Consider the following 23,869-nt stretch of genomic DNA (forward strand, 5'->3'; position numbering starts at 1 on the left):
GAAATGCGTTGACCGGGTTCCTTGGCTGTTTATGCTAAGACATTGTCTTCTGAGTTCAAATCAAATTCTGGGTCCAAATGGACAGTGGTGTCTCTTGGGGCTGTCAGTGTCCCAGATCACTCAGATGTAAATGTGTTTAATATGGAAGAGGAGCACAGAATTCTGGTGAACCCACAATGTGCAGTGAAACTCAAAATGAGTATGAGGAAAGTTATGGAAGTTGAAGGGCAAGCATCACAAATACCATTTACAAAAGGATAGGCATATTGCATGTATCTTCCCTGTGCTGGACAAGGGTTGTGTGCAGCTATGTAGGGCACATGCTCATTAAGCTGGCCTTAATTGTGAAGGTTCTGTGGTAATGAATGGTGGAAATGCTATTCCTAAGGAAGGATGGGCCATCTCTACACACCCAGATGGTCTGTGGCTGGGAGCATGGCAGAGGCAATCTTGGGCATCCATGGAGATGTTCCGGTGTCATTTTTCAGGATCCCAGATTTTCCTTACGAAGGGTCTGACCTCTACAAAATAGACATGCATTGGCTGAGCATTCCAACATCTGTAGAGCTCTGCTACAGGCCTTCAGCCCACATATTTGGGCAATAATTCTGCCTTCTATCCAAGAAGATAAAGGCCTTGTAAGCACTCACCAGGGAGTCCTGGTTTACTTAACCATTAACTGTTTGCTAATGGCTGAATGAAGTCTTCAATTTCTCAAGGTCCTTCTGCAGGTGGTAATGCAGATCGGCGATAATCAGTCTACTCTGCTCTTTGTAGGCACTTTCCCTACATTTTCAAAGGCCTGCATCATCACATCTGCCACAGCATTCTCTATCATTGAGGCATTTTCTCAGGAAATCACCTGTGAAATATTTTGCAGCTAACCACCTACCTGTGCCCCACCAGCCAACATGCTTTACTCCTGCCAGGCAGGTGAGTGGTCCCCAGATCCCTATTTTACCACTTGTTTTGTCAGACTGTTCTTGGTATCAGCTGTGTTGGAGGGAGTTCTCTGCAAAGACCAATATGGGACTGCATATACAGAGATTTTATTTCCAGATATGACTGTGAGAGAATGATGAGGGGAGCAGTTACTTAGTCTATTTGAGCTGTTATAATAAAATACCACTGACTAGGAAATGTATAAAGAGGACTTTATTTTCCCAGAGTTCTGGAGGCTGGGAAGTTCAACATCAAAACATCAGTAGGTGCAGTTGTCTGTTGAGGGCTCATGTCTGTTTCCAAGATGATGCCTTCATGCTGCATCTTTTGGAAGGGAGGAGCATTGTGTCCTCACAGAGCAGAAAATAGAAGGGCCACAGGACAAACTCCCTCTATCAAGCCTTTTCATAAGGGCACCTGATCCCATTCGCAAAGCTCTATCTTCGTGACTTGACTTAATCACTTCCCAAAGGTCCCACCTCCTAATACTTACACTGTTTCAACAGTAAACAGTTTATGTAGAGTTTCAACATAAATTAAGGAGGGGACAAAACATCCAAACCAAGGAAGGCTGGGAGGGAAGCCAGAGGGAAAGTGCAAGAGGAGGTTTGGTGGAGGTGTCCTAGATTGTTTGCAGTCCAAGGAGGTTGGGGAGAGTGTAACAGGCCTGCCTTGGTATCCCTGCTCTGCAGTCACTGGCTAAGAGCAGTCCTTAGAAAGCACAGCCTGGCACAAATACAACAAGAATATGTGCTCAGTAGGAAAGAGACCACATTTCCCCAATAGCCCAGGTAATGCCCTCCCCTCAACTGGCATCTCTGTTCCCTAAACATTGACCTCTTTTCTCTGAATCTCTTGGGGACACATGGGTTGAATTCAGGTTCTCTGTAGCCCTCTGGATTCTGTCTGCCTCTGTTATATCTTCACGAACAAGTTATGCAGCCTCAACTAAAGCTTGTAACAAAGCAAAGTTACTCTCCTGAGTGTGTCCTCTGATGGATGGTGAGATATAACTTCAAGATGAAGCCTCACCCACACTCCCTGTACAAAAACGCTTCTCACGTAAGTGTCTCTTTAAGTGCTTACTGTAGTATGACTTATTGCTAAACTTTCGTCCACACTCTTGGCATTCATAAGGCCTCTCTCCTGTGTGTATTCTTTCATGCACAGTGAGGTCTGACTTACTGGTATAGCCTCGCTTACACTCCTGGCAAACAAAAGGCTTCTCCTTTGAGTGTATCCGCCAGTGGTGTCTGGTGAGACTTCTCTTCCAGCTGAAGCCTTGCCCACACACATTACACACGAAGGGCTTCTCCCCTGAGTGTGTCCTCTGGTGTGTGAGGAGATTTCCCTTCCAGTTGAAGCCTCGCCCACACTCCTTGCATACAAAAGGCTGCTTGCCAGAATGTGCAAGCTGGTGTTTCACAAGATTTGACTTCCAGATAAATCCTTGCCCACATTCACTACAGATGAAAGGCTTCTCCCCTGAGTGTGTCTTCTGGTGGAAGAGGAGAGTTGATTTTAGGATGAAGCCTCGCCCGCAATCCTTGCAATTAAATGGCCTTTCCCCCGAGTGTGTCCACTGATGTCTAAGAAGATTTGCCTTCAAACTAAAACTTTTCTCACACTGCTTGCACATGAAGGGCTTCTCTCCTGAGTGTGTCCTCTGATGTATGGTGAGATTTGGCTTCAAGGTAAAGCCTCGCCCACAATCCCTGCAGAAAAAACGTTTCTCACCCAAGTGTGCCCTCAGGTGCTTGTTATAGGAGGACTTATCCCGAAACCTTCGCCCACACTCCCGACATCCATAAGGCTTCTCCTCTGAGTGTGTCCTCTGGTGTAAAGTGAAGGTTGACTTTTGGATAAAGCCTCGTCCACAGTCCTTGCACACAAAAGGCTTCTCCTCTGAGTGTGTGATCTGATGTTTCACAAGGGTTGACTTCTGAATAAATCCTTGCCCACATTCTCTACAAACAAAAGGTTTCTCCCCTGAGTGTGTTCTCTGGTGGTAGACAAGAGTTGACTTTTGGCTAAAGCTTCGCTCACAATCCTTGCACACAAAAGGCTTCTCCCCTGAGTGTGTTCTCTGGTGTCTGAGGAGACTTCCTTTCACGCTAAAACTTTGCTTACACTGCCTGCACGCAAAGGGCTTCTCCCCTGAGTGTGTCCTCTGGTGTGTGATAAGGTGTGACTTATTGCTAAAGCCTCGGCCACACTCCTGGCATCTGTAAGGCTTCTCTCCTGAGTGTATTCTCTTGTGCACAACGAAGTATGACTTATTAGTATAGCCTCGCCCACACTCCTTGCACACAAAAGGCTTCTCCCCTGAATGCGCCTTCAAGTGCTTGTTGTATGAGGACTTATCGTTAAACCTTCGCCCACACTCCTGGCATTCATAAGGCTTCTCTCCTGTGTGTGTTCTCTCATGCACAGTGAGGTATGACTTACTGGTATAGCCTCGTCCACACACCTTGCACAGAAAAGGCTTCTCTCCTGAGTGTGTCCTCTGGTGTCTGAGGAGGTTGGCCTTGAGGCTGAAGCCTCGCCCACACACACTGCACACATAGGACTTCTCTCCTGTGTGTGTGTTCTGGTGCAAGAGCAATGCTGACTCATCTCTAAAGCCCTGGTGACACTCCCTGCATGTAAAAAGTTTCTGCCTGGAATGTGCTTTTTTGTGTATGATTACCATCATCTTCCGGCTGAAGTCTTGCCCACGCTCTGCACACTTGAATGCTCCCCATCTTGAATTTTCTATTCCTTTCAATACTTTGTCTATTTCTGTAGGATTTTCCCTCTGGCCTTGACTAGACTCTATTTCCACTACACTGTTCCTCCTCCTTGAGCTTACTGCATGTCTTAGGGGTGGGCTGGAAAATGCCATGGGCTTAGTGCTTTTTTCTTTCTCTTGACCTTCAGCTGTGTCACTCTGGAAGCTTTGATCAGAAAATTGTAGTTGCTGTTGCCTCTGATGTGCAAGTCCAAGATTCTTGGGCCGCAGGACATGTTCTGCATATATTCCTGGAGAATAGACCAACAATGAGACTGAATCAGTAACGAAAAGTCTTCTATGAAAGAAAAACCCAGAACCATATTGCTTTACTGCTTAATTCTAATAAACTCATAAAGAACAACAAACACCAATTCTTCTCAAACTATTCCAAAAAATTGAAGCAGGGCAGGGAGGAATTCTTCCTAACTCATTCTAAAAGGCCAGCATTATCCTGATACCAAAACCAGACAAGGACACAGCAAAAACAGAGAACTACAGGCCAATATCCCTGATGATGCTAAATGGAAAAATCCTCAACAAAATACTAGCAAAACCAATGCAACAACACAGAAAAGATAATACACCATGATCAAATGAGATTTATCCCAAGTATGCAATCATGATTCAACATACACAAATCAATACTTGTGATACATCACATCAACAGAGTGAAGGACCAAAAGACATATGATCATCTCAACAGATACAGAAAAAGATTTGATATGATTCAAAATCCCATTATGATAAAAACTTTTTTTTTTTGAGACAGGGTCTCACTCTGTCACCCAGGCTGGAGTGCAGTGGCATGATCATGGCTCACTGCAGCCTCGACCTCCCAGGCTTACACGATCCTCCCACCTCAACTTTCCAAATAGCTAGACTACAGGTGCCTGCCTGTAGTCAAGCCATAGGTGCCATTGCCTGGCTAATTTTTATATTTTTTGTAGAGATGGGATTTCGCCATGTTGTCCAGGCTGGTCTCAAATTCTTGAGCTCAAGCAATCTGCCCATCTTGCCCTCCCAAAGTGATGAGATTAAAGGCATAAGCCACCGCACCCAGCCTATGATAAAAACTTAAATCAGGTGTACAGGAAACATATCTCAACATAATATAGACAATATGTTCCAAACCCACAGCAAACATCTTAGTGAATGGGGAAAAGATAAAAGTCTTTCCTCTAAGAACTGGAAGAAGATTCGAATGTCTACTTTCACCACTCTTATTACCATAGTTCAGGGAGTCCTAGTCAGAACTATGGTAAGAGAAAAAAATAAGGCAAGAAAAGGAAATAAAAGGCATCCAAGCTGGAAAACTGAAGTCAAATTGTCTCTTTTTGCAGATGACATGATCGTACCTATAGAAAACCTAAACACTCTTCGAACTGATGAATGATGTCAATAAAGTTGCACAATATGAAATCAGAAAAAAAAATCAGTAGTGTTTCTATATGCCAATAATAACTAGGTGAAAAAGAAATCAAGAAAGCAATCCCATTTATAATTGGTACAAAAAAGTATATGAATAAACAACCCCAAATTAAATGTTCTCTATGATAAAAACAATGAAATAAATAGACGAGGACACAAACAAATGAAAAGACATCTTATGTTCATGGAGCAAAATAATACTGTTGAGATGACCATACTGCCCAAAGCAATCTACAGATTCACTGCAATACCTATTAAAATACCAGTGATATTCTTTATAAAAATAGACAAAATACTCCTAGAATTCATAAGGAACCAAAAAGACCTCCAATAGGCAATAGTGAGCATAAAGTACAAAGTGGGAGGCATCATACTACCTCACTTCAAAATATAATACAAAGCTAGTGTCATCAAAGCAGCATGGTATTGGTCTAAAAATAGACACTGGCCAGGCACAGTGGCTCACACCTGTAATCCCAGTGCTCTGAGAGACTGTGGCAGGCGGATTGCTTGAGGCTAGGAGTTCGAGTCCAGCCTGGGCAACACGATGAGACCCCATCATTACAAAAGGTTAAAAAAAAAATTAGCTGGGCATGGTGGCACATGCCTATAGTCCTAGCTACTTGAGACACGAGGATCACTTAAGCCCAGGAGTTAGAGGCTGCAGTGAGCTGTGATGGCACCACTGCACTCCTGCCTGGGTGGACAGAGCAAGACCCTGTCCATAGAAACAAAAACAAAAATGAAATACACATAGACCAATAAAAGAGAATAGATAATCTACAAATAAATCCATATATTTATAGCCAACTGATTTTTGACAAAGGCACTAAAAACATACCTTAGGGTAAGGACAGAATCTTCAATAAATGGTATTAGAAAAAGTGAATTCCAAAATGAGTAAGAATGAAGTTAGATGTTTGTTTCTCATACTATACAAAAATAAACTCAAAATAGATTAAAGACTTAAACATGAGTTCCACAATTATAAAACAACTTGAAGAAACACAGGAGAAATGCTTTAGGACACTGGCCTAAACTAGCCATATTTTATGGCTAAGACTTCAAAATCACAAGCAACAAAAGCAAAAATACACACATGAGACTACATTAAACTAAAAACTAAAAAGCTTCTGTACAGCAAAGGAAAGTATCAACAGTGAAGATACAAAATGTAGAATGGGAGGAAATATCTGCAAAGTATTCATCTTACAAGGGACTAATATACAGAATATACAAGAAGTCAAAAAACAACAACAAAAAATCCAACTAAAAAGTGGGAAAAGGATCTGAATAGACATTTCTCAAAATAAGACATACAAATGGGCAACAGGTATACGAAAAAATGCTCATCATCACCAATCATCAGGGAAATGCAAATCACACTGAGAGATCCTCTTACCACAATTAGGATGGCTATTATCAAAAAGAGAAAAAATAACAAATAATGGCAAAGATGCAGAAAAAAGGCAATAATTATACACTCTTGGTGTATAATTAGTACAGCCATTATGGAAAATGGTATGGAGGTTCCTTAAAAAACTACAAATAGAACTACGATACAATCCAGCAATCCCACTACTTCATATTTATCCAAAGAAAAGGAAATCAGTATGGCAAAAGGATACCTGTACCCCCATGTTAACATTATTCACAATAGTCTAGATATGGAATTAACCTAAATGTCCATCAATGGTTGAATGGATAAAGAAAATGTAGTACATATATATAATGGAATGTTAGTCAACCATAAAGAAGAATAAGAATACTGCTGTCATTTACAGCAGTATCATTAGAATCATTATCATTAACTAATGATATAATCAGTATCATTAGTTCATTATGTTAGGTGAAATAAGCCAGGCACAGAAAGCCAAATATTGCATATTGTCACTCATATGTGGGAGCAGAGGCTAGGAAAGGGAGAGGGAAGGGAGAACGAAGAGCAGTTGATTATGGGTACAAAAATATAGTTAGAAGAAATAAGTGTTTGATAGCACAGTAGCGTGACTATAGTTTAACTGTAATTTATATTTCAAAATAGAAAAAAATGGAGTATACAGAGAAATGATAAATATTTGAGGTTATGGATCCTGATTTGATCATTACATATGGTATGCATATATCAAAATACCACATCTACTCCATAAATAATGTACAATTATTATGTATCAACAAATAAGAAAATAATCCCCCCAAAACTAATACAAAATAGTAGGCATCTACAAAGGGGAGATATTTATATATAAATGGAGAATAATAAAGAATTATCTTTTTTAATACATTAAAATGAATATTCATATTAAGAAAGGAAAAACTAAAGTGAAAAGAGAAATAGCAAACTGATAGAAAGTACTGCTGGTACTATGACAGTCAATGTGCTTATTATTCAGGAAAAATACTCCAAAACTTGTCAGATATATGATTATATGACCTTTCCTACATCATCTGTATAATTTTTAATTTTTCTGATCACTCGGATAATGACAGTTAAGTTTGCTGATTCTGTAAAGTTACAGGGTAACTTACAATGGTGTTATTTTGGCACTATCCACATACATCCCACCTTCTCATACCTGCACTGAACCAGCTTTGTCATCCTGCCAGTAACCTCACTTATGAGTTAAATAAAATCCTAACATATGCTCCCATTACATTAAACATTCACACTTTCAGAAGTCAGTGGTAGACAAGAAGCCTTTTATTTTAATTCACTGACAGACAAATCAGCAAGCAATTGATATGGGGGCGAGAGAAGGGAGTTGATAATGGGCTGAACATTAGCATCCCCCCCAAATTCATATGTTGATGCCTTAACCCCCAATGTGATGGTATTTGGAGGTGGAGTTGTTGGGAGATAAACAGGTTTAGTTGAGATCGTGGGGTGAGCCCATGAGAGGACACAGTAAGGAGGCGGCAGCCTGTGAGCCAGGATGGGGACCCTCACAATGAAGCAAAGGTGCCAGCACCTTCATCTTGGAATTCCCAGATTCTAGAACTGTACGAAATAAATGTCTGTTGTTTAAGCCTCCCAGTCTATGATATTTCGTCATTTCTACGATACTCAAGATGACAGAGGAGTCCCTTCCCACCTATGTAAACTGAGGGAGTGGCCCCGATCCAAAAGCAGAGACCTTATGCACGTGAAAACTCAGGCCAGCTCCAAATTTCTCAGTGGATGCCCCCACATTTTTTATGGGGTGGTGGGAAGCAAGGAATGGGAAAGAACTCCACAGTCTGTATGAACCTGCTTTTTTTGCAGACAATAGGACAAAGTCAACAACAATAACCATAAAAAAAAATCAACCTGCTAATTTTCTGATAGAGAGTATACTGTGTAATTCCACTTACATGAAGTTCTAAGATGGGTGAAATTAAGGCATATTGAACAAAATCCGAATAGTGATTTTCTCTGGTGGACGTGGGGGCAGGAAATGACTGGAAAAAGGCACAAAAGCACTTCTGGGGTGAGAGTAATTCTTTTGTGTTGTCATAGGGGTCCAGATTACACAAAGTTATGCATATGTCAAAGCTCACTGAATGTTACACTTAAGATTTATGCATCTTATATAAATCCTAAAAAGAACCACAAAGAAACATTATAATACTACTTATTGATATGCATGCTGAAGTGTTTATGCGTAAAGGATAATGATGTCCACAATATTAAAGAGCATCAAAAGGAAGATGGACTTATGGATGGAGAGAGCAATGCACAGCTGGGTAAGTAAGCGATAAAGAATACGGAGCACAAAGCTAAATGCTGACTGTAGGTGGCAGATCGACAGGTGTTCATTCTATAAGCCTTTCAACTTTTTAGTATCCACCAAAATATAATTGTTCAACATTTGCTTCACAAAAAAATGCTGGAGGAAAGGAAGTATTATAGGATGTAAACTCAAAATATATATGCCATGAAATAAGGAAAGTTAAATGAGGGTTACAGTCACCAAAAAAAATCTTAGGAACTAATATTAATATTAAACGAAATAGATTATAATACAGTAACTATTATTAGGTTTTACAGATGAAATATGATGACCAGGATTTGCTTCAAAATAATCCAGGAATGGGAGATGAGGGTGAAAGTACAGAGGACACAAGATTCCCTGTGAGCCAATAAAATTATAATAATTCTAACCCTGCATGTATTTAATAGTAGGCTAAAATATATAAAGTCCTACAAAACTTAGTAGATATGGAACAATCCACTATGAATATAGAAGATGTAAAAATCATCTTTTCAAGTATTGGATAGTTCAAACTGCCCTCCCAAAAAAAACTATAAAGCCACAGAAGAGTTAAATAACAACAACAAAAATCTTTATATATTGGCCAAGCATGGTGGCTTATGTCTGTAATCCCAGCACTTTGGGAGGCTGAGGCAGGAGGATCACCTGAGGTCAGGAGTTCAAAACCAGCCTGGCCAACATGGTGAAACCTCTCTCTACTAAAAATACAAAAAAAATTAGCCAGGCATGGTGGTGAGGACATGTAGTCCCAGCTACTCAAGAGGCTAAGACAGGAGAATTGCTTGAACCTGGGAGGTGGAGGTTCCAAGGAGCCAAGATCGCGCCATTGCACTCCAGCCTGGGCTACAAGAGTGAAACTCCGACTCAAAAAAAAAAAAACTTTATATCTTTAAATCTTTGTATCTTTATAAACTTGATCTAGGAAGGGTTTCTTAAACAAGACATAAAAGAGACTTCCAAGTACTCGAGGAGAACTGCAGCTGTGTAAGGCTAAATCTGTCCACACATTCTCCAAATAGGATATAAAGGTCAATAGAAACAGATGACCCCTGAAACTGACACATAACAAGATAGAGAAAACTAAATTTATCATTGTCATAAGCAGAAAACTTAACACCACTTTTCAGCAGTCTCCTGTGGTCCCACTGTGAGGAGTGAGGAAAGCCAGTAAAACAGCATGAAAAGAGAAGAGAGGAACACAGGGCCTAACTGTGAACTAAAACTGCTCCAAGAGAGAACAAGTCCACCCTAGAGGTAAGAATCATCATCATCATCATCATCATCATCATCATCATCATCATGAGTCCTGATGAACCACTGCGGTGACTACAGGGACTTAAGAGGGTGCACAATTCTAGACCACAGCCCCACTCAGGCAGTACATCTGGGGGAAATGGGGGAAGGAGGAAGGTGAAGTGACCTCTGGCAACAGTAGTACTGCTTAAAACATTAAACGACAAGGAAAAAAAGCTATGGGAATTGAAGAAGGAGAATAACGGACAGAGGTTTTAAGAAGCTAAAATAGAACTTAAACAAATTTACAAGAAAAAAAAAAACCCCATCAAAAAATGGGCAAAGGATATGAACAGACACTCCTCAAAAGAAGACATTTATGCAGCCAACAAACTTAGAAAAAATGCTCATCATCACTGGCCATCAGAGAAATGCAAATCAAAACCACAATGAGATACCATCTCATACCAGTTAGAATGGCAATCATTAAAAAGGAAACAACAGGTGCTGGAGAGGATGTGGAGAAATAGGAACACTTTTACACTGTTGGTGGGACTGTAAACTAGTTCAACCATTGTGGAAGTCAGTGTGGCGATTCCTCAGGGATCTAGAACTAGAAATACCATTTGACTCAGCCATCCCATTACCAGGTATATACCCAAAGGAATATAAATCATGCTGCTATAAAGACACATGCACACGTATGTTTATTGCAGCACTATACACAATAGCAAAGACTTGGAACCAACCCAAATGTCCAACAATGATAGACTGGATTAAGAAAATGTGGCACATATACACCATGGAATACTATGCAGCCGTAAAAAATGATGGGTTCATGTCCTTTACAGGGACATGGATGAAGTTGGAAACCATCATTCTCAGCAAACTATCTCAAGGACAAATAACCAAACACCGCATGTTCTCACTCATAGATGGGAATTGAACAATGAGAACACATGGACACAGGAAGGGGAACATCACACTCTGGGGACTGTTGTGGGGTGGGGGGAGGGGGGAGGGATAGCACTAGGAGATATACCTAATGCTAAATGACGAGTTAATGGGTGCAGCACACCAGCATGGCACATGTATACATATGTAACTAACCTGCACATTGTGCACATGTACCCTAAAACTTAAAGTATAATAATAATACAAATAAATAAAAAATATTAAAAAAAATTAAAAAAAGAGAAATGCAAATCAAAACCACAATGAGATACCATCTCACGCCAGTTAGAATGGCGATCATTAAAAAGTCAGGAAACAACAGATGCTTGAGAGGATGTGGAGAAATAGGAATGCTTTTCCTCTGTTGGTGGGAGTGTAAATTAGTTCAACCATTGTGGAAGACAGTGTGGCGATTCCTCAAGGATCTAGAACTAGAAATACCATTTGACCCGGCAATGCCATTACTGGGTATATACCCGAAGGATTATAAATCATTCTACTATAAAGACACATGCAGAGGTATGTTTACTGCAGCACTTTTCACAATAGCAAAGTCTTGGAACCAACCCAAATGCCCATCAATGATAGACTGGATAAAGAAAATGTGGCACATATATACCATAGAATACTATGTGGCCATAAAAAAGGATGAGTTCATGTCCTTTGCAGGATCATGGATGAAACTGGAAACCATCATTCTCAGCAGAGTAACACAAGAAGAGAAAAATCAAACACTATATGTTCTCACTCATAAGTGGGAGTTGAACCATGAAAACACATGGACACAGGGAGGGGAACATCACACACTGGGGCATGTTGGGGGGTAGGGGGCAGGGGAGAGGATAGCATTAGGAGAAACACCTAATGTAAATGACGAGTTGATGGATGTAGCAAACCAACATGGCACATGTATACCTATGTAACAAACCTGCATGTTGTGCACATATACCCCAGAACTTAAATTAAAAAAAAAAAAGAAAATCAGTATATAGAAGAATGAGATGCAAATTGTATCAAAAAATTTATATTTACTTACACAGAAAAATAATTAAAAAACAAAACAAAACAAAACAAAAAGAAGCTAAAATAGGAATACCTGGACAGTATCAGGAAGGGGCAATAGACTTAGGCTTGCAGTCGGGCAGTCACGAGGAAAGTCACAAATGAGGAGATTGAGTGGGAGAAAGAAGTCTAGCAAGTAGGGGGAAAGGAGGCTTCCTGGGAGAAGGAGTCCAGGGACCTCAGGAGAACCTCTCACTCAGCAAGGACTGGAAGGAAGGCAGGGCCAGGTGGTCTGAAGAGCAGCCAAGGAGGCCAGAACAGCTTCCAGGTCCCCTGGCCTCAGAGAAGCCTCCTCCCTCCTGAAAGGCGGAGTGCCTTGTGCTCTGTCTGCCCTGTCTATCCCCTCACCTGCACAGGGGCCTGGCCGGCGTCTTCTCTCTTCTCCCCAGGGCACTTCCCCTTGCTCTAGCCGCCTGATGAGTTCTGGTTTAGAATGGAGAATTCCTGCTCACAGGGAAAAAAACCATGAGGTGACTCCTGGTTGTAGGCTCCACGGGCCATTTGCTGGAGCCACCCAGGGCAGGAAGGGAGGGAGAATCAGAGGGGGAAGGCTCAGGAGGACCCTGTCTACCATGCTCAGAGTACAAACCCCCAGGGGGAGCCCCAGTGTGGGGAAAGGCCTGCAGGTGCCCAGTGGCAGTCAGTATGAAACTTTACCAAAGCCAGACCTTCCTCAGGGGAATAGAGAAAACAACATTCTTGTCTCTGAACCTAACCCTATGGCAACATCAGAGGCACCACAGGCCAAATGTTAGGCTCGAGGGAAGCCACGCTTACCTAGTGAGACCAGGTGGCTGTAGTTCTCCAGTGTCACCTCCCTGTACAGGGCCCTCTGAGCAGGGCTCAGCAGCCTCCATTCCTTCTGGGTGAAATCCACAGTGACATCCCCAAATGCCAAGAAAGCCTGTAACACAAAACCCAGGCATGCTCACCAGGGACAGTGTTGCACTCACGCAGTTGGAGGATTCCAGGTTCTGCCATCTGTACACAGATCACTACTTGATGAGTGACACCCACAGGCCAGTCACCTGCTGGAGGACGCCAGGAAAGACAGATCACTCCCCAGGAGCGGTGCTGGCCTTGGTCCTGTGCTAATAATGTAACTGCTAGGGCCAGTGAAGGAAATGGGCCCATCCTGTGACAGCAAGAACGACAGTTCTGGGAAGTCTCACCTGTCTCCTGGCTCCCTGAGGTCCCATGACTGTCTTCCTGCTCTCCACGGAGAAGGGAAGCTTGCAGATGGCCAATCTGTGGGAGGAGAGAAGTCAGAGGGTGGCTGGGTGCAGCTGCCCTCCCCATGTGTGACAGTTGGTGTGATTCCAATACCAACTGGGGATCTGGGGAGGGCGCACCTGCACAATTCCCCTGTGGGGATCTGGCCAAAAGGTCTAGGGAGCCAGGCTCCCTGCAAATCCAGGACAAGCTCATCTGGGAGTGAAGTGTGCCCCAGGAGCTGGGTGACGTTTGTTGCTTACATCACTGAGGGGCTAAAAGGATGAGGAACACCTGCAGATGAGGTCTTGCATTTAAGGTTAGGGCTCAGAGTTCCAGGTGTTCTTTGCACTGGACAGAATACACAAGAGCTGTCTGCCTCTTCTAGCCTCTGTCTCCCCGGGTTTGAAGTCAGGATAACCACAGGTGCAGACAAACTTGAGAAGGCCACAGGCAGATGGCATTGGCAGTTATTCAGTACTGTACAACACCAAAGCCTTTAACAAATTAATAGCATGGGGAGTGTGAGCTGTCAGGAATAAAAGTCCTCAGACACATGGTTAATCTAAGGCAATGAGTGATCCAATGCAATTTGGATCCTGATTGCAACAAAGAATATGTGAGGAGTATTAACAGCCAGTGAAATCTGAACACTAATTGGATATTAGATTATCAAACATTAATTTTGTTGTTATAAAAGTATTTTGGGTTTTAAAAACATGAGCCCTTCCTTGTATACAAACTTTTGGAACATTCATGAGTGAAAATGATGTCTGGATGTGCTTAAACACCCCTTCTCACCCTCAAAAGTCAATTGAGCATTACTGGCCACACTTCATAATTTTTAGAACTGAATAATGTGTACTGGGTTCATTATATTATTTTCTCCGAATTTTTTGAAAAAAATTCCAGTAGAAATACAGGAAAAGAACTGTAAATTAAAGTGGTGGGTGTAATGATTTCATTAGAGTATTCACTATACTTTTAAGTGAATGTTTTGACTAAAAAAATAAAATTAAAAACACAGACATATAGGGGTGAAAAGAAGGAAATGTGAAGGAACAAAGATGCTATCATGTGGTGATTATGATGAACACAGCATACATCCACTAGCCAGTAACTTTGAGACAGAAGTGAACAAATACTATGGTGTTATGAAAAGAAAATAAAACTAGGGACCCCAGTCCACTCTGCCAAAAGGAAAAACATTAAGCTGAAAGCTAAGTCATGCAAGAAGCTGCCTTTCCTTTTGTTCTTAAGGAGATAGCTACAGATAAAACGTTAAATATCTCCATAGTAGCTACTCTATGCACACCGTATCTTATGTAAAGTGCTGATTTACTGAGTGTGAGATGAATGCATAACTATTTTCCTACCTGCTCCTTTTCTCTTGTCACAGGTGGATTACCACACCTTTCCTCTTTCCCCTCCAGCCTACTTTTCCTTTTTAAACAATGAGGCTCTCAAACTCATCTTTGGGGAAAGCCACTGGCCTCTTTCTGTGGCATGTCCTCAACTGTGGCAAAATAAACATCTAAATTGGTACTTGACTCTGATACTTTTTGGTTTACATGTAGTTGGAGAAGAAAAACAGTGAAATTTCTTCCTCTGACGGCAGTTGAAAGGTGATTTAAAACATTTTTGTTATTTCTTTCTATATACTTACATAAATAGTTTACCTTTCATGTCCCATCTGTGCTATCTTTACCTATTCCAAAGTCACAAAGATATTCCCCTACATTTACTCTTAGAAGTTTAAATATGTTGTTTTTGATGGTAGTATAAATATGTATTTCATTTTTTAACTGTTTGCTGCTAGGTTACAGAAATACAAGTGCTTTTTAAAAATACTGACCTTATTTTCTGAAGTTCCTAAACTGTGTGTTACTAGTATCTAGTTGTTTAACTATTCTTCCATGTACATACTCACATCTTCTGTGAATAAAAAATTTTTTTTTCTGTTTCAACGTTTATGCCTTTTATTCCTTTTTAATACCTTAACAGGTTAGCTAGTTATTCTAGGATAATGCTAAATAAGAGTGATAAGAATCAACATTAATGCTTGTTCCTGATCTTAGTGTGAACACACTTCACCATTAAATATGATGATTGCAGCCAGGCTGTCACACATAACCTTTGTTTCATTAAGGGAAATTCTTTCTATTCCTCATTTACTGAGAATTTTTACCCTGAATAGGTGTGAAATGTTATCAAGTATTTTTCTGCATTAAGATAGTAATGTAGGTTTTTCTCTTTTGCTCCCTGAAAGCAGTGAAAGGAAAATAAAAACGTTGGAACCCAAACCACTCTGCCAAAAGAAAAATATTAAGCTGAAAGCTGATTCATCCAAGAAGCTACCTTTCCTTTTGTTCCTAAGCGGAGAACTACAGATAGGTTAAGTAAGGGTAAGTATCTCTGCCGGGCGCGGTGGCTCACGCCTGTAATCCTAGCACTTTGGGAGGCTGAGGCGGGCCTCCTCCTCGTGGTCAGGAGATTGAGACCGTCCTGGCTAACACCGTGAAACCCGTCTCTACTGAAAATACAAAAAAATACAAAAAATAGCCGGGAGTGGTGGCGGCGCCTGTAGTCCCAGCTACTCGGGAGGCTGAGGCAGGAGAATGGCGTGAACCCGGGAGGCAGAGCTTGCAGTGAGCCGAGATCGCGCCACTGCGCTCCAGCCTGAGCAAGAGTGAGACTCCGTCACAAAAAAAAAAAAAAAAAAAATTAGTCGGGTGTGGTGGCGAGCGCCTGTAGTCCCAGCTACTCAGGAGTCTGAGGCAGGAGAATGGTGTGAACGTGGGAGGCAGAGCTTGCAGTGAGCGGAGACCGTGCCACTGCACTCCAGCCTGGGCAACAGAGCAAGACTCCGCATCAAGAAAAAAAAAAAGTTAAATATCTCCACAGGTTGCTTACTCTATGTTCACTCTATCCTCGGTTTTTTGGGAACAAACTCTATTTGGCTAGAATATATCATCCTTTTCATGTATTGCTGGATACTACTTGTCCATATTTTGGTGAGAATTCTTGACTATTTTCCTCTGGAATGATTACATGTAAGGGCACATGAGAACTCTTGTTGAAATGTTCTGTATCTTGATTGAGGTGATAAGTGACCTGTGTATACTTTAAAGAGTCAAAACTCATTATACAGTTAAAAGCAGTGCTTCTTACGGTATGCAAGTTACACCTCAACACTGATTAAAAATCCTCTCAGAGATCAAGTATATATGGGTAAAATAACAAGACATCTGGATTTGTTTGAAATACTTTGGCACATAAACAGGGGGAAGGGATAAATCTAACAGAACTACCCATGGTTTTAAAATGATCAAATCTGGATGAAGGCAACATGGGGATTCCTATTACCATCTCCCAATTTTGCTACCCATTTGAGATTTTTCATAACACTAGTTTACAGAAAAAGCATTAATCATATTGCTAATTCTATGCTTACCAAAAAATTGGCTAAAATAATCTTATAGGAGCTAACTTCATTTGAAAATACTCAAAAGTCCCCAGCATTCAAGAAACTGCCCAATCAAGAAAAAGCCACATTAAAAACAGAAGGCAGCTGGCTGGGCACAGTGGCTTATTCCTGTAATCCCAGCACTTTGGGAGGCTGATGCATGTGGATCGCTTGATCCCAGGAGTTCGGGACCAGTTTGGGCAACATGGCAAAGGCTCATCTCTACAAAAAATATAAACATTAGCTGGATGTGGTGGCACGTGCCTGTAGTCCTAGCTACTCCTGGCTTGAGCCCAAGAGGTTGAGGCAGCAATGAGCCTTGAATATGCCACTCCACTCCAGCTTGGGCAACAGAGCAAGACATAGTCTCAAGAAAACAAAACAACAACAACAACAAAAACAAAACAGGAGACAGTCATATTTGCAGCCCAATACACCTTATTCCCAATGTTCTATCCTGTCCAAGTGTTGTCTAATGGAAAAATCTCATGGTGAACTTGCCTATAGATCCCTGGGGCAAAAAATTACAGGTGCAGAATACAACAGAGCTTCTAAAGCAGCATCTCAGTTTCCACTTCCTTCCCTCAAACCTGAGAAAGCACAGTAGACCTTTCTTACAAGGTTCTAAGCTGTTGGAGGCTGCCTGAGGGACTGCTCTGTTTTGAGGATCTCACACCTTAGGGAAGAAAAGCACTGGATCATGCTTGGCAAAGATGCAGACAGATTGAAGAGCAGATGCCTGGGGCAAGATATTATGGGTGGAGACATACAACAGACCATCAAAGGCCCAGAGGAGAGACTCTTGGGACAAATAAATATTTAAAAGCAGTTGCCTATGAGAAAATGGAAAAAGCCACAAGCAAAGGTAAGATCCATGCTCCAAAAAGGCCTGAGAAAATCTTAAACCTTCTCCTCAGATTGATCCCAAAGCTTAGAACGAATACCAAGATAATAGCAAAAATCCTCCCTGGAAAAGAGTCAGTCTGCAAAAACCGGAAAAGGAGGTTGTTTTTTCCACAATGCCTAATTTCTAACAACAACAACAAAAACTCAGAAAACATGGCCCAATAAGTGGAAGAAAATAAAGTGACGGAAACCTTCCCCGGAGAAACATAAGCTTCAGGCAAACTAGACAGATTTTAGACTGTCTAAAATATTCTCAAAAACTCATGAAACACGGGTAGAGAAAAGGAAATCAGGAAAATATATATGAACAAAATACCAACAGAGATTACAAAAAGGAAGCAAACAAAAATTCTGGACCCGAAAACACAGTAATTGAAAAATTCAGTAGAGGGATTTAACGGCAGATGAGCAGGCAGAAGAAATAATCAGTAAACATAAAGAGAAGAATTTGAAATTTCAGAGACAGAGAAGCAGAAGAGAAAAGAATGAAATAAACAGAGCCAAAAGAGTTATAAGGTGCCATTAACTGGACATATATATGGGTGTCTAGAAGATGCTGATAGATTACTGAAGAAATAATGGCCAAAACTTCAAAATTTGAAGACAGACATGAATCTACAAGGCCAGCACACTCAACAAACTCCAAGAATAAATTCAAGGAGGTCCACACCCAAACACACTTCTCAACTATACTTACATGAAACCAGCTTCAGGAACACAGGACTGGCAGGGGGAGAGAAGTTAAGAATAGTGGCATCGTGCCTCTCTCAGGGAAAAGCTGTCACCATAGACTGAGAACTGGAGAGGGACAGGGTTCCATCTTGTGATTTTCACAGCCCACAGTGGAGTTTCTCTCAGAGTGGACCAAAATGGGGGTGGGGAGGGTAGCAGTTTGTGTGTCAAATGTTACAGACTCTCACTGTTCTCAGAAAGGCTCAGTTGATTTTTCTGAATAAATGTTTCTCTAAATTCCTGAGTGGTCTTAAGACAAATTCCGTGTAGTTTAAATGGTTGTTTTTGGTTTTCTAAATTACCAGTTATGGTGTTTTACTGGAGATACAGTCCACGTCGCTCCTCACTGCCATTCCAGAATCCACATTTCTGATTATAGTTGGGACCAGAACTAGGGCCAGGCAATTAGGTAAGTGGTGTGATCATTATTTGTCCTTATGGGTAGAAGTAGAATTAGGAGATGAGCCTGGCAGGCAGAAGGAAGGAAGGGAAGGAAAAAGCTATGGCAAGGAAAGAATGAACAAGCCTCAGCACCTAAGCAAGCAAATGGGAAGTTTGCCAAGGTAGGGAAACTTCCTTTACCTAGATCACAACGAGAGAAGTAAAACAGACAAGGGGCACTACTGAGCTGGTTTCTAGATATTTCTTCTCTCATGCTTCCCATCTTAATGAACCTGAGTGTGAAATCTGAATTGTAAGGAGAAATTTTTGAGACCTGGAAAATTTCTGCATAAACTGGGTAATGAGTGAAATTAATACATTGCTAATTTTGTTGAGTATGATTCTGGTACTCTAGTTACGTTAAAAGGCAAGACAGTAACAACAAAAATAGTCCTCAGAGAAGTAGCTGCAGTAAATTTACAGATAAAATGGTGTCTTGGATTGGCTTCAAGATGCTCTAGCCTGAAAACAGAAAGCATGGGGTGGGGAGGGGGTTGGATGAAATAAGAAGAGCAAAGTGTTAAGGTGCAACAAGGGAACAGAGAGATCTGTTATATATTCTCTCTACTTTAGTTCCTACTTCAATATTTTTCATAGTAAATTTGAAAAAAATTGAATATCCCTTCCAAGATAATTTGGAGAGGAAAAATAGAGAAAACTTTCATTTCCAGGGTGTGAATGGAGAACACTGCAAACTGTTTGGTCTCACTCCTGCCATCTGTTGCCATCTGTGGGAGTTAATATCCTGTAGGAACAGAAACTGAGAGCCGTAAGAAAGTGGTTTAAATTAGTTACCAATAAATTAGATATGAATATGAGGCAAACTTGAAACATTTAGCTCCTCCACGTATATTTCATTAAAATTCTCCTAAGATAAAAAAACAGCTCCTACATTTTTGGGAGATGAAAAATGTTCATATGTTGATTTGATGATCAAGACTTCACTATATACATTTCTCAAAACTCATCAACTAGAACTTAAAATGGGAGATAATTTTATTGTCTCAATTATACCTCAATGAAGCTAATTCTTAACAGAAACCCCCAAAATCCCAGCTTGCTCCACAACCCAGTCCACTTGATCCCAGATATGTTACATAAAGTAAAAATTATTATTTTTTGAGACAGAGTCTCACTGTCCCCCAGGCTGTAGTGCAGTGGCATGTTCTCTGCTCACTGCAACCTCCATCTCCTGGATTCAAGCGATTATCTTGCTTCAGGCTCCAGAGTAGTTGGGATTACAGGCGTGAGCCACCATGCCTGGCTAATTTCTGTATTTTTAGTAGAGATGAGGTTTCACCATGTTGGCCAGGCTGGTCTCGAACTCCTGGCCTCAGGTAATCTGCCCGCCTTGGCCTCCCAAAGTGCTGGGATTACAGGTATGGGCCACCACGCCAAGCCGTAAAAATTATTTCAACTGATTAACACGCCACTTCTTAGTCTGTGAAATGGGGATTCCAATTCCTAACTTCCACATTGGTTGAAGAGATGAATAGGGCAATGACTATAAAGCCCTGTCCCTGGGACAGGACAATGGCTCAGCACATGCTGACTGAATAATTTTTTACAAGACCTGGTCTGCACCACGAATGCAGCAGCCTGAATAAAGCACTGAGAGAAGAAATGTAGGGACAATGATGGAAGTGTCCTGAATGAGGGCATCAGATCTGGGGAACGTTCCCCATGAGAACCGGCTGAGAGGTTCTGAGCCTCAGATGGGACAGTGTAGGGCACAAGATGTCAGACATTAGCAAAGGAAACCCACCATGGTTTAGGGCAGAGAAGGCACTGCAGGAAGGCAATACATAAGAAGTCCCCACCTGGGGTTGGGCTGTCCTCCCTTACCCTGCAGACAGTCCTCTCACGGGTAACGTGGGAGTGGAGGAAGAGGAGCTGGGGACTAAAATGGCTCTAAAATGAGCTCTGCGATCCTCAAAGGTGGCCTTGGAAATTCCCAGTCCCAGGGTAGAGCCTCTTCTTGTTAAAAAAAAAGGACCCAAAGTCTTCCAGAGAAGAAAACTTTACGCAGGTTCCTGGGAACAGATCCTGAGTGTGGGCATCGCAACAGACCCTGTCCTGACATGATGCTAACACTAAACACAGCATATCCTGTCGGTGCTTCCAGAATAAGGAAGTGTTGATATTCATTATAATATTTAACACTTTTTTAGAATTTAATATATGCCAGGGACGGTTCCAGGCGTGGCACAAATTTTTCTGCATTCAATCTTCACAACTGTCCTATGAAGTGACTATTACCCACCAATTTCAGATGAGGAAACAGGCACAAAACATTTAAATGCCTTTCTCAAAGCAACACAGCCAAGAAAGTGATAGAGCTTGGGTTTCAACTCTCACTGTAAAGGACTATGTCTTAACCAGTAGGCATGGCTATGACATTCCTCAATGAATCTGCACAGATTAGGAGGGGATCTGGGTCAAGCTAGATTAGCTTGCAAGGTCATGAGGTATATCTTGACTGATGGGTCTCTCTACTTGGGGGTTCTGCTGACAATTTTTCCATAATGAAATGATTAAAATCAGTTATTTGGATGGTCAGTCCACAGCCCCAGAGACATTTAAAAAAACTGCTGGGCCCAATGGTTGCTGTTACTCCCACTCCAATAACCGAGGAAGCCCTACCAACCTGGTGAGGACTAAATTCACCTTTTTTCCCTTGCCCAAATGCCTATGTATGAGGCTTGGGGAATCCTGCCCGAGAAACCATAAAATCTCATCAGATGAGTTTTATTACTCTTATATAATGAGGCTCACTTTCCAACCTGACTCTGGTACAGCATCACATGACAGCAGATGCTGAAGGAAATTATTTTACCCCAAAATATACTTCTTTGACATGTTTTGAAGTGGCTGCCACAGGGGCAACAGATTGAAATGGATAGCCCCGCAAAGCTATCTTTAGTGGGAAAATTTGCATCTGCAGCGAATCTCCATTAATGTAGCCAGACCTCCTTTGTTCTAAGCCTTTCTTAGGTCTGGAAGAGACAGCCAGCCTGACGCGCGGTGGCTCACGCCTGTAATCCCAGCACTTTGGGAGGTAGAGGTGGGTGGATCACCTGAGGTCAGGAAGTCAAGACCAGCCTCAGCAACATGGTGAAACCCCATCTCTACTAAAAATACAAAAATTAGCCAGGCGTGGTGGCGGGCGCCTGTAGTCCCAGCTACTCAGGAGGCTGAGGCAGGAGAACTGCTCAAACCTGGGAGGTGGAGGTTGCAGTGAGCTGAGATCACGCCACTGCACTCTAGCCTGGGCGACAGAGCAAGACTCTCTCTAAAAACAAAAACAAAAACACAAAAACCCAAAAAACTGAAAACAGACATTTACCATCTATTCTGAGAGTTGCCAACTAAGAGGCTTCATCTACATAATAAGAACTTTGATCTACGCAATCCCCTTAACTCTGGCATGCTTCTGATTCCAGTCTTCAGGCAGTAGCTTAAGTCTCTCAACCAACTGTCCACTAAAGAATCCCTAAGTGCCCCCATGAGGTGTAAACCCTTTGGAGATATACCAGCTTTTTGGGAGGAACCCGTGTATATCTTTCTCTTATTGATTTATGATTTTCTTTTTGGAGGCAGGATCTCGCTGTGTTACCCAGGCTAGCGTGCAGTGCAGCCAACATAGCTGGTTACAGCCTCCACCTCCTGGACTCAACTGACTGGGCCTCCCAAGTAGCTGAGGCCACAGGCATGGGACACCACGCCCCGCTAATTTTTTTATTTTTCTAATTTCATGTAGAGACAGGGTCTTGCTGTGCTGCCCAGGCTGCTCTGGAACTCCTGGCCTCCCAAAGTGCTGGGACTACAGGCATGAGCCACACTGCTCAGCCTGATTTATGACTTTACCTGAAATTCCTGTCTCCCTGAATTGTATAAAATTAACCTGCAAGCCTGACCATCTCGGGCACTTTCACAGGACCTCTTGAGGCTGAATAACCTGGGCCACAGTCACTCATACTGACTAGGAATAAACCTTTTTAAATATATTTTGGCAGAACCCGGATTTTGCCGTCATTAGCAAGGCCCCAGGGAAGAGGCCACCTGGGTCCCCACAGCCACCTCACCTCCCGCGGACGCTGCCCCACGCAGATCCCCCCCCCCCCCCACCAAAACACGTCTAGACGTGCCCGTGCGAGGACATTTGGTCCCGGCCTACACTCCTATCCGCGGAAGATCGTCCCAAGGCGGGGTGCTCCCAACCCAAAGCAGCGGCCCTTCCCCAAAACACGCGGGCGAAGTCCTCCCCTGTCCCGCCTCCCACAATAAAGTCTGGAGCATCAGAGTCGGAGGGAACCCGAGTCGGACCTAGCCCATCCGTCTCATGGCTGTAACCCCCACCCCACCAGTGGACCCTGGCTGTGGCCGAGTCCCCCTCCACCTCCGGCCAAAAGACCCCCGTGGCAGCTCGCTAGGCCGCTGGCCCGTCCCCACCCGAGGAGCGGCGACCCTGGCACAAGAGGACCTGGGTTGCTCGGCGCCCCTGTGAAATCCGGGCTGTTCACCGCCCGAGCCGCCACTACACGCAACCGGGAACGGAGACTGAGTGGCGGCCCAGACCCGGGGCGCTCGGCAAGCCGCAGCCCCACCGCCCACTTCAAGGCGCGGCCTGGGTCTCCGCCCCTCCCCAGAACGCGGAGACGCCGGGCCTGGAGGAGCGCGCGCTACGGCCCCAGCAGCGCCCTCACGTCCCAGGCCTTCCCGGCCCTTCTTCCTGCGCCGGAAGGGCGCGCTGCAGAGAGGGACCCGCAGGAGCGCAGCTCACCGGGGCGGCTGAGGGCGAACCGAGGCGGTGAGGTCACCGATGGTGGACCACGCATCTCACGGCTCGCTGACGCCCAGGGATCTGGAACGCTCTGCGCCGCCCGGGACTACACTACCCAGAATCCTCAGCGCGGCCGGGACTACGCTACCCAGCATCCTCGGCGCGGCCCGGAGGCTATGCGACCC

At 42.9% G+C, this 23,869-nt stretch overlaps 1 protein-coding gene and 1 long non-coding RNA gene across 8 annotated transcripts in view, besides 2 other annotated features; one reads left to right on the forward strand and one right to left on the reverse strand.

The window, feature by feature from the left end:
• The window catches only part of ZNF337-AS1 (ZNF337 antisense RNA 1), a 54,030-nt gene extending 49,030 nt beyond the window's left edge, over positions 1 to 5,000 (forward strand). Inside the window, exons 3-4 of one of the 2 annotated variants that reach the window (NR_126465.1) lie at positions 778 to 933; positions 3,862 to 5,000. This is a non-coding gene — a long non-coding RNA (ZNF337 antisense RNA 1). Of the gene's footprint in view, positions 1 to 777; positions 934 to 1,822; positions 2,005 to 3,861 lie in introns of those variants that run through there. The other variant, NR_126466.1, reaches the window with a different exon arrangement.
• ZNF337 (zinc finger protein 337) lies at positions 121 to 23,779 on the reverse strand. Of its 6 annotated transcripts, none has more exons than NM_015655.4 (5): positions 23,685 to 23,779; positions 13,317 to 13,392; positions 12,922 to 13,048; positions 12,493 to 12,588; positions 121 to 3,963 (listed from the first exon to the last, which is right to left on the reverse strand). In NM_015655.4, the coding sequence occupies exons 2-5, from the start codon at positions 13,341 to 13,343 to the stop codon at positions 1,958 to 1,960; spliced, it is 2,256 nt and encodes a 751-aa protein (NP_056470.1). In that variant the 5' UTR covers positions 13,344 to 13,392; positions 23,685 to 23,779; the 3' UTR covers positions 121 to 1,957. The 6 variants fall into 6 exon arrangements, with proteins under 6 accessions (NP_056470.1, XP_011527521.1, XP_006723621.1 ...); XM_011529219.3 differs by having other exon boundaries at positions 23,385 to 23,779; XM_006723558.5 differs by having other exon boundaries at positions 18,426 to 23,779.
• Positions 12,671 to 12,730: an enhancer, noted in NCBI's record as "active region_17673". NCBI's record gives its function as "activates an Ori minimal core promoter by ATAC-STARR-seq in GM12878 lymphoblastoid cells {active_cell/tissue: GM12878}" and the evidence as "EXISTENCE:reporter gene assay evidence [ECO:0000049][PMID:35858748]".
• Positions 23,183 to 23,292: an enhancer, noted in NCBI's record as "active region_17674". NCBI's record gives its function as "activates an Ori minimal core promoter by ATAC-STARR-seq in GM12878 lymphoblastoid cells {active_cell/tissue: GM12878}" and the evidence as "EXISTENCE:reporter gene assay evidence [ECO:0000049][PMID:35858748]".

The sequence above is a fragment of the Homo sapiens genome, chromosome 20 (genome assembly GCF_000001405.40).
Source record: "Homo sapiens chromosome 20, GRCh38.p14 Primary Assembly".
Taxonomy (NCBI): domain Eukaryota; kingdom Metazoa; phylum Chordata; class Mammalia; order Primates; family Hominidae; genus Homo; species Homo sapiens.

Excerpts from the sequence above, each read along its gene's own strand:
- ZNF337 (NM_015655.4), bottom strand. The coding sequence starts at position 13,343 with ATGGGACCTCAGGGAGCCAGGAGACAG. Across the intron at positions 13,049-13,316 it reads CTCAGGGAGCCAGGAGACAG|GCTTTCTTGGCATTTGGGGA; the intron begins GTGAGACTTCCC and ends TTTGTGTTACAG. Across the intron at positions 12,589-12,921 it reads CAGCCACCTGGTCTCACTAG|GAATTCTCCATTCTAAACCA; the intron begins GTAAGCGTGGCT and ends CCCTGTGAGCAG.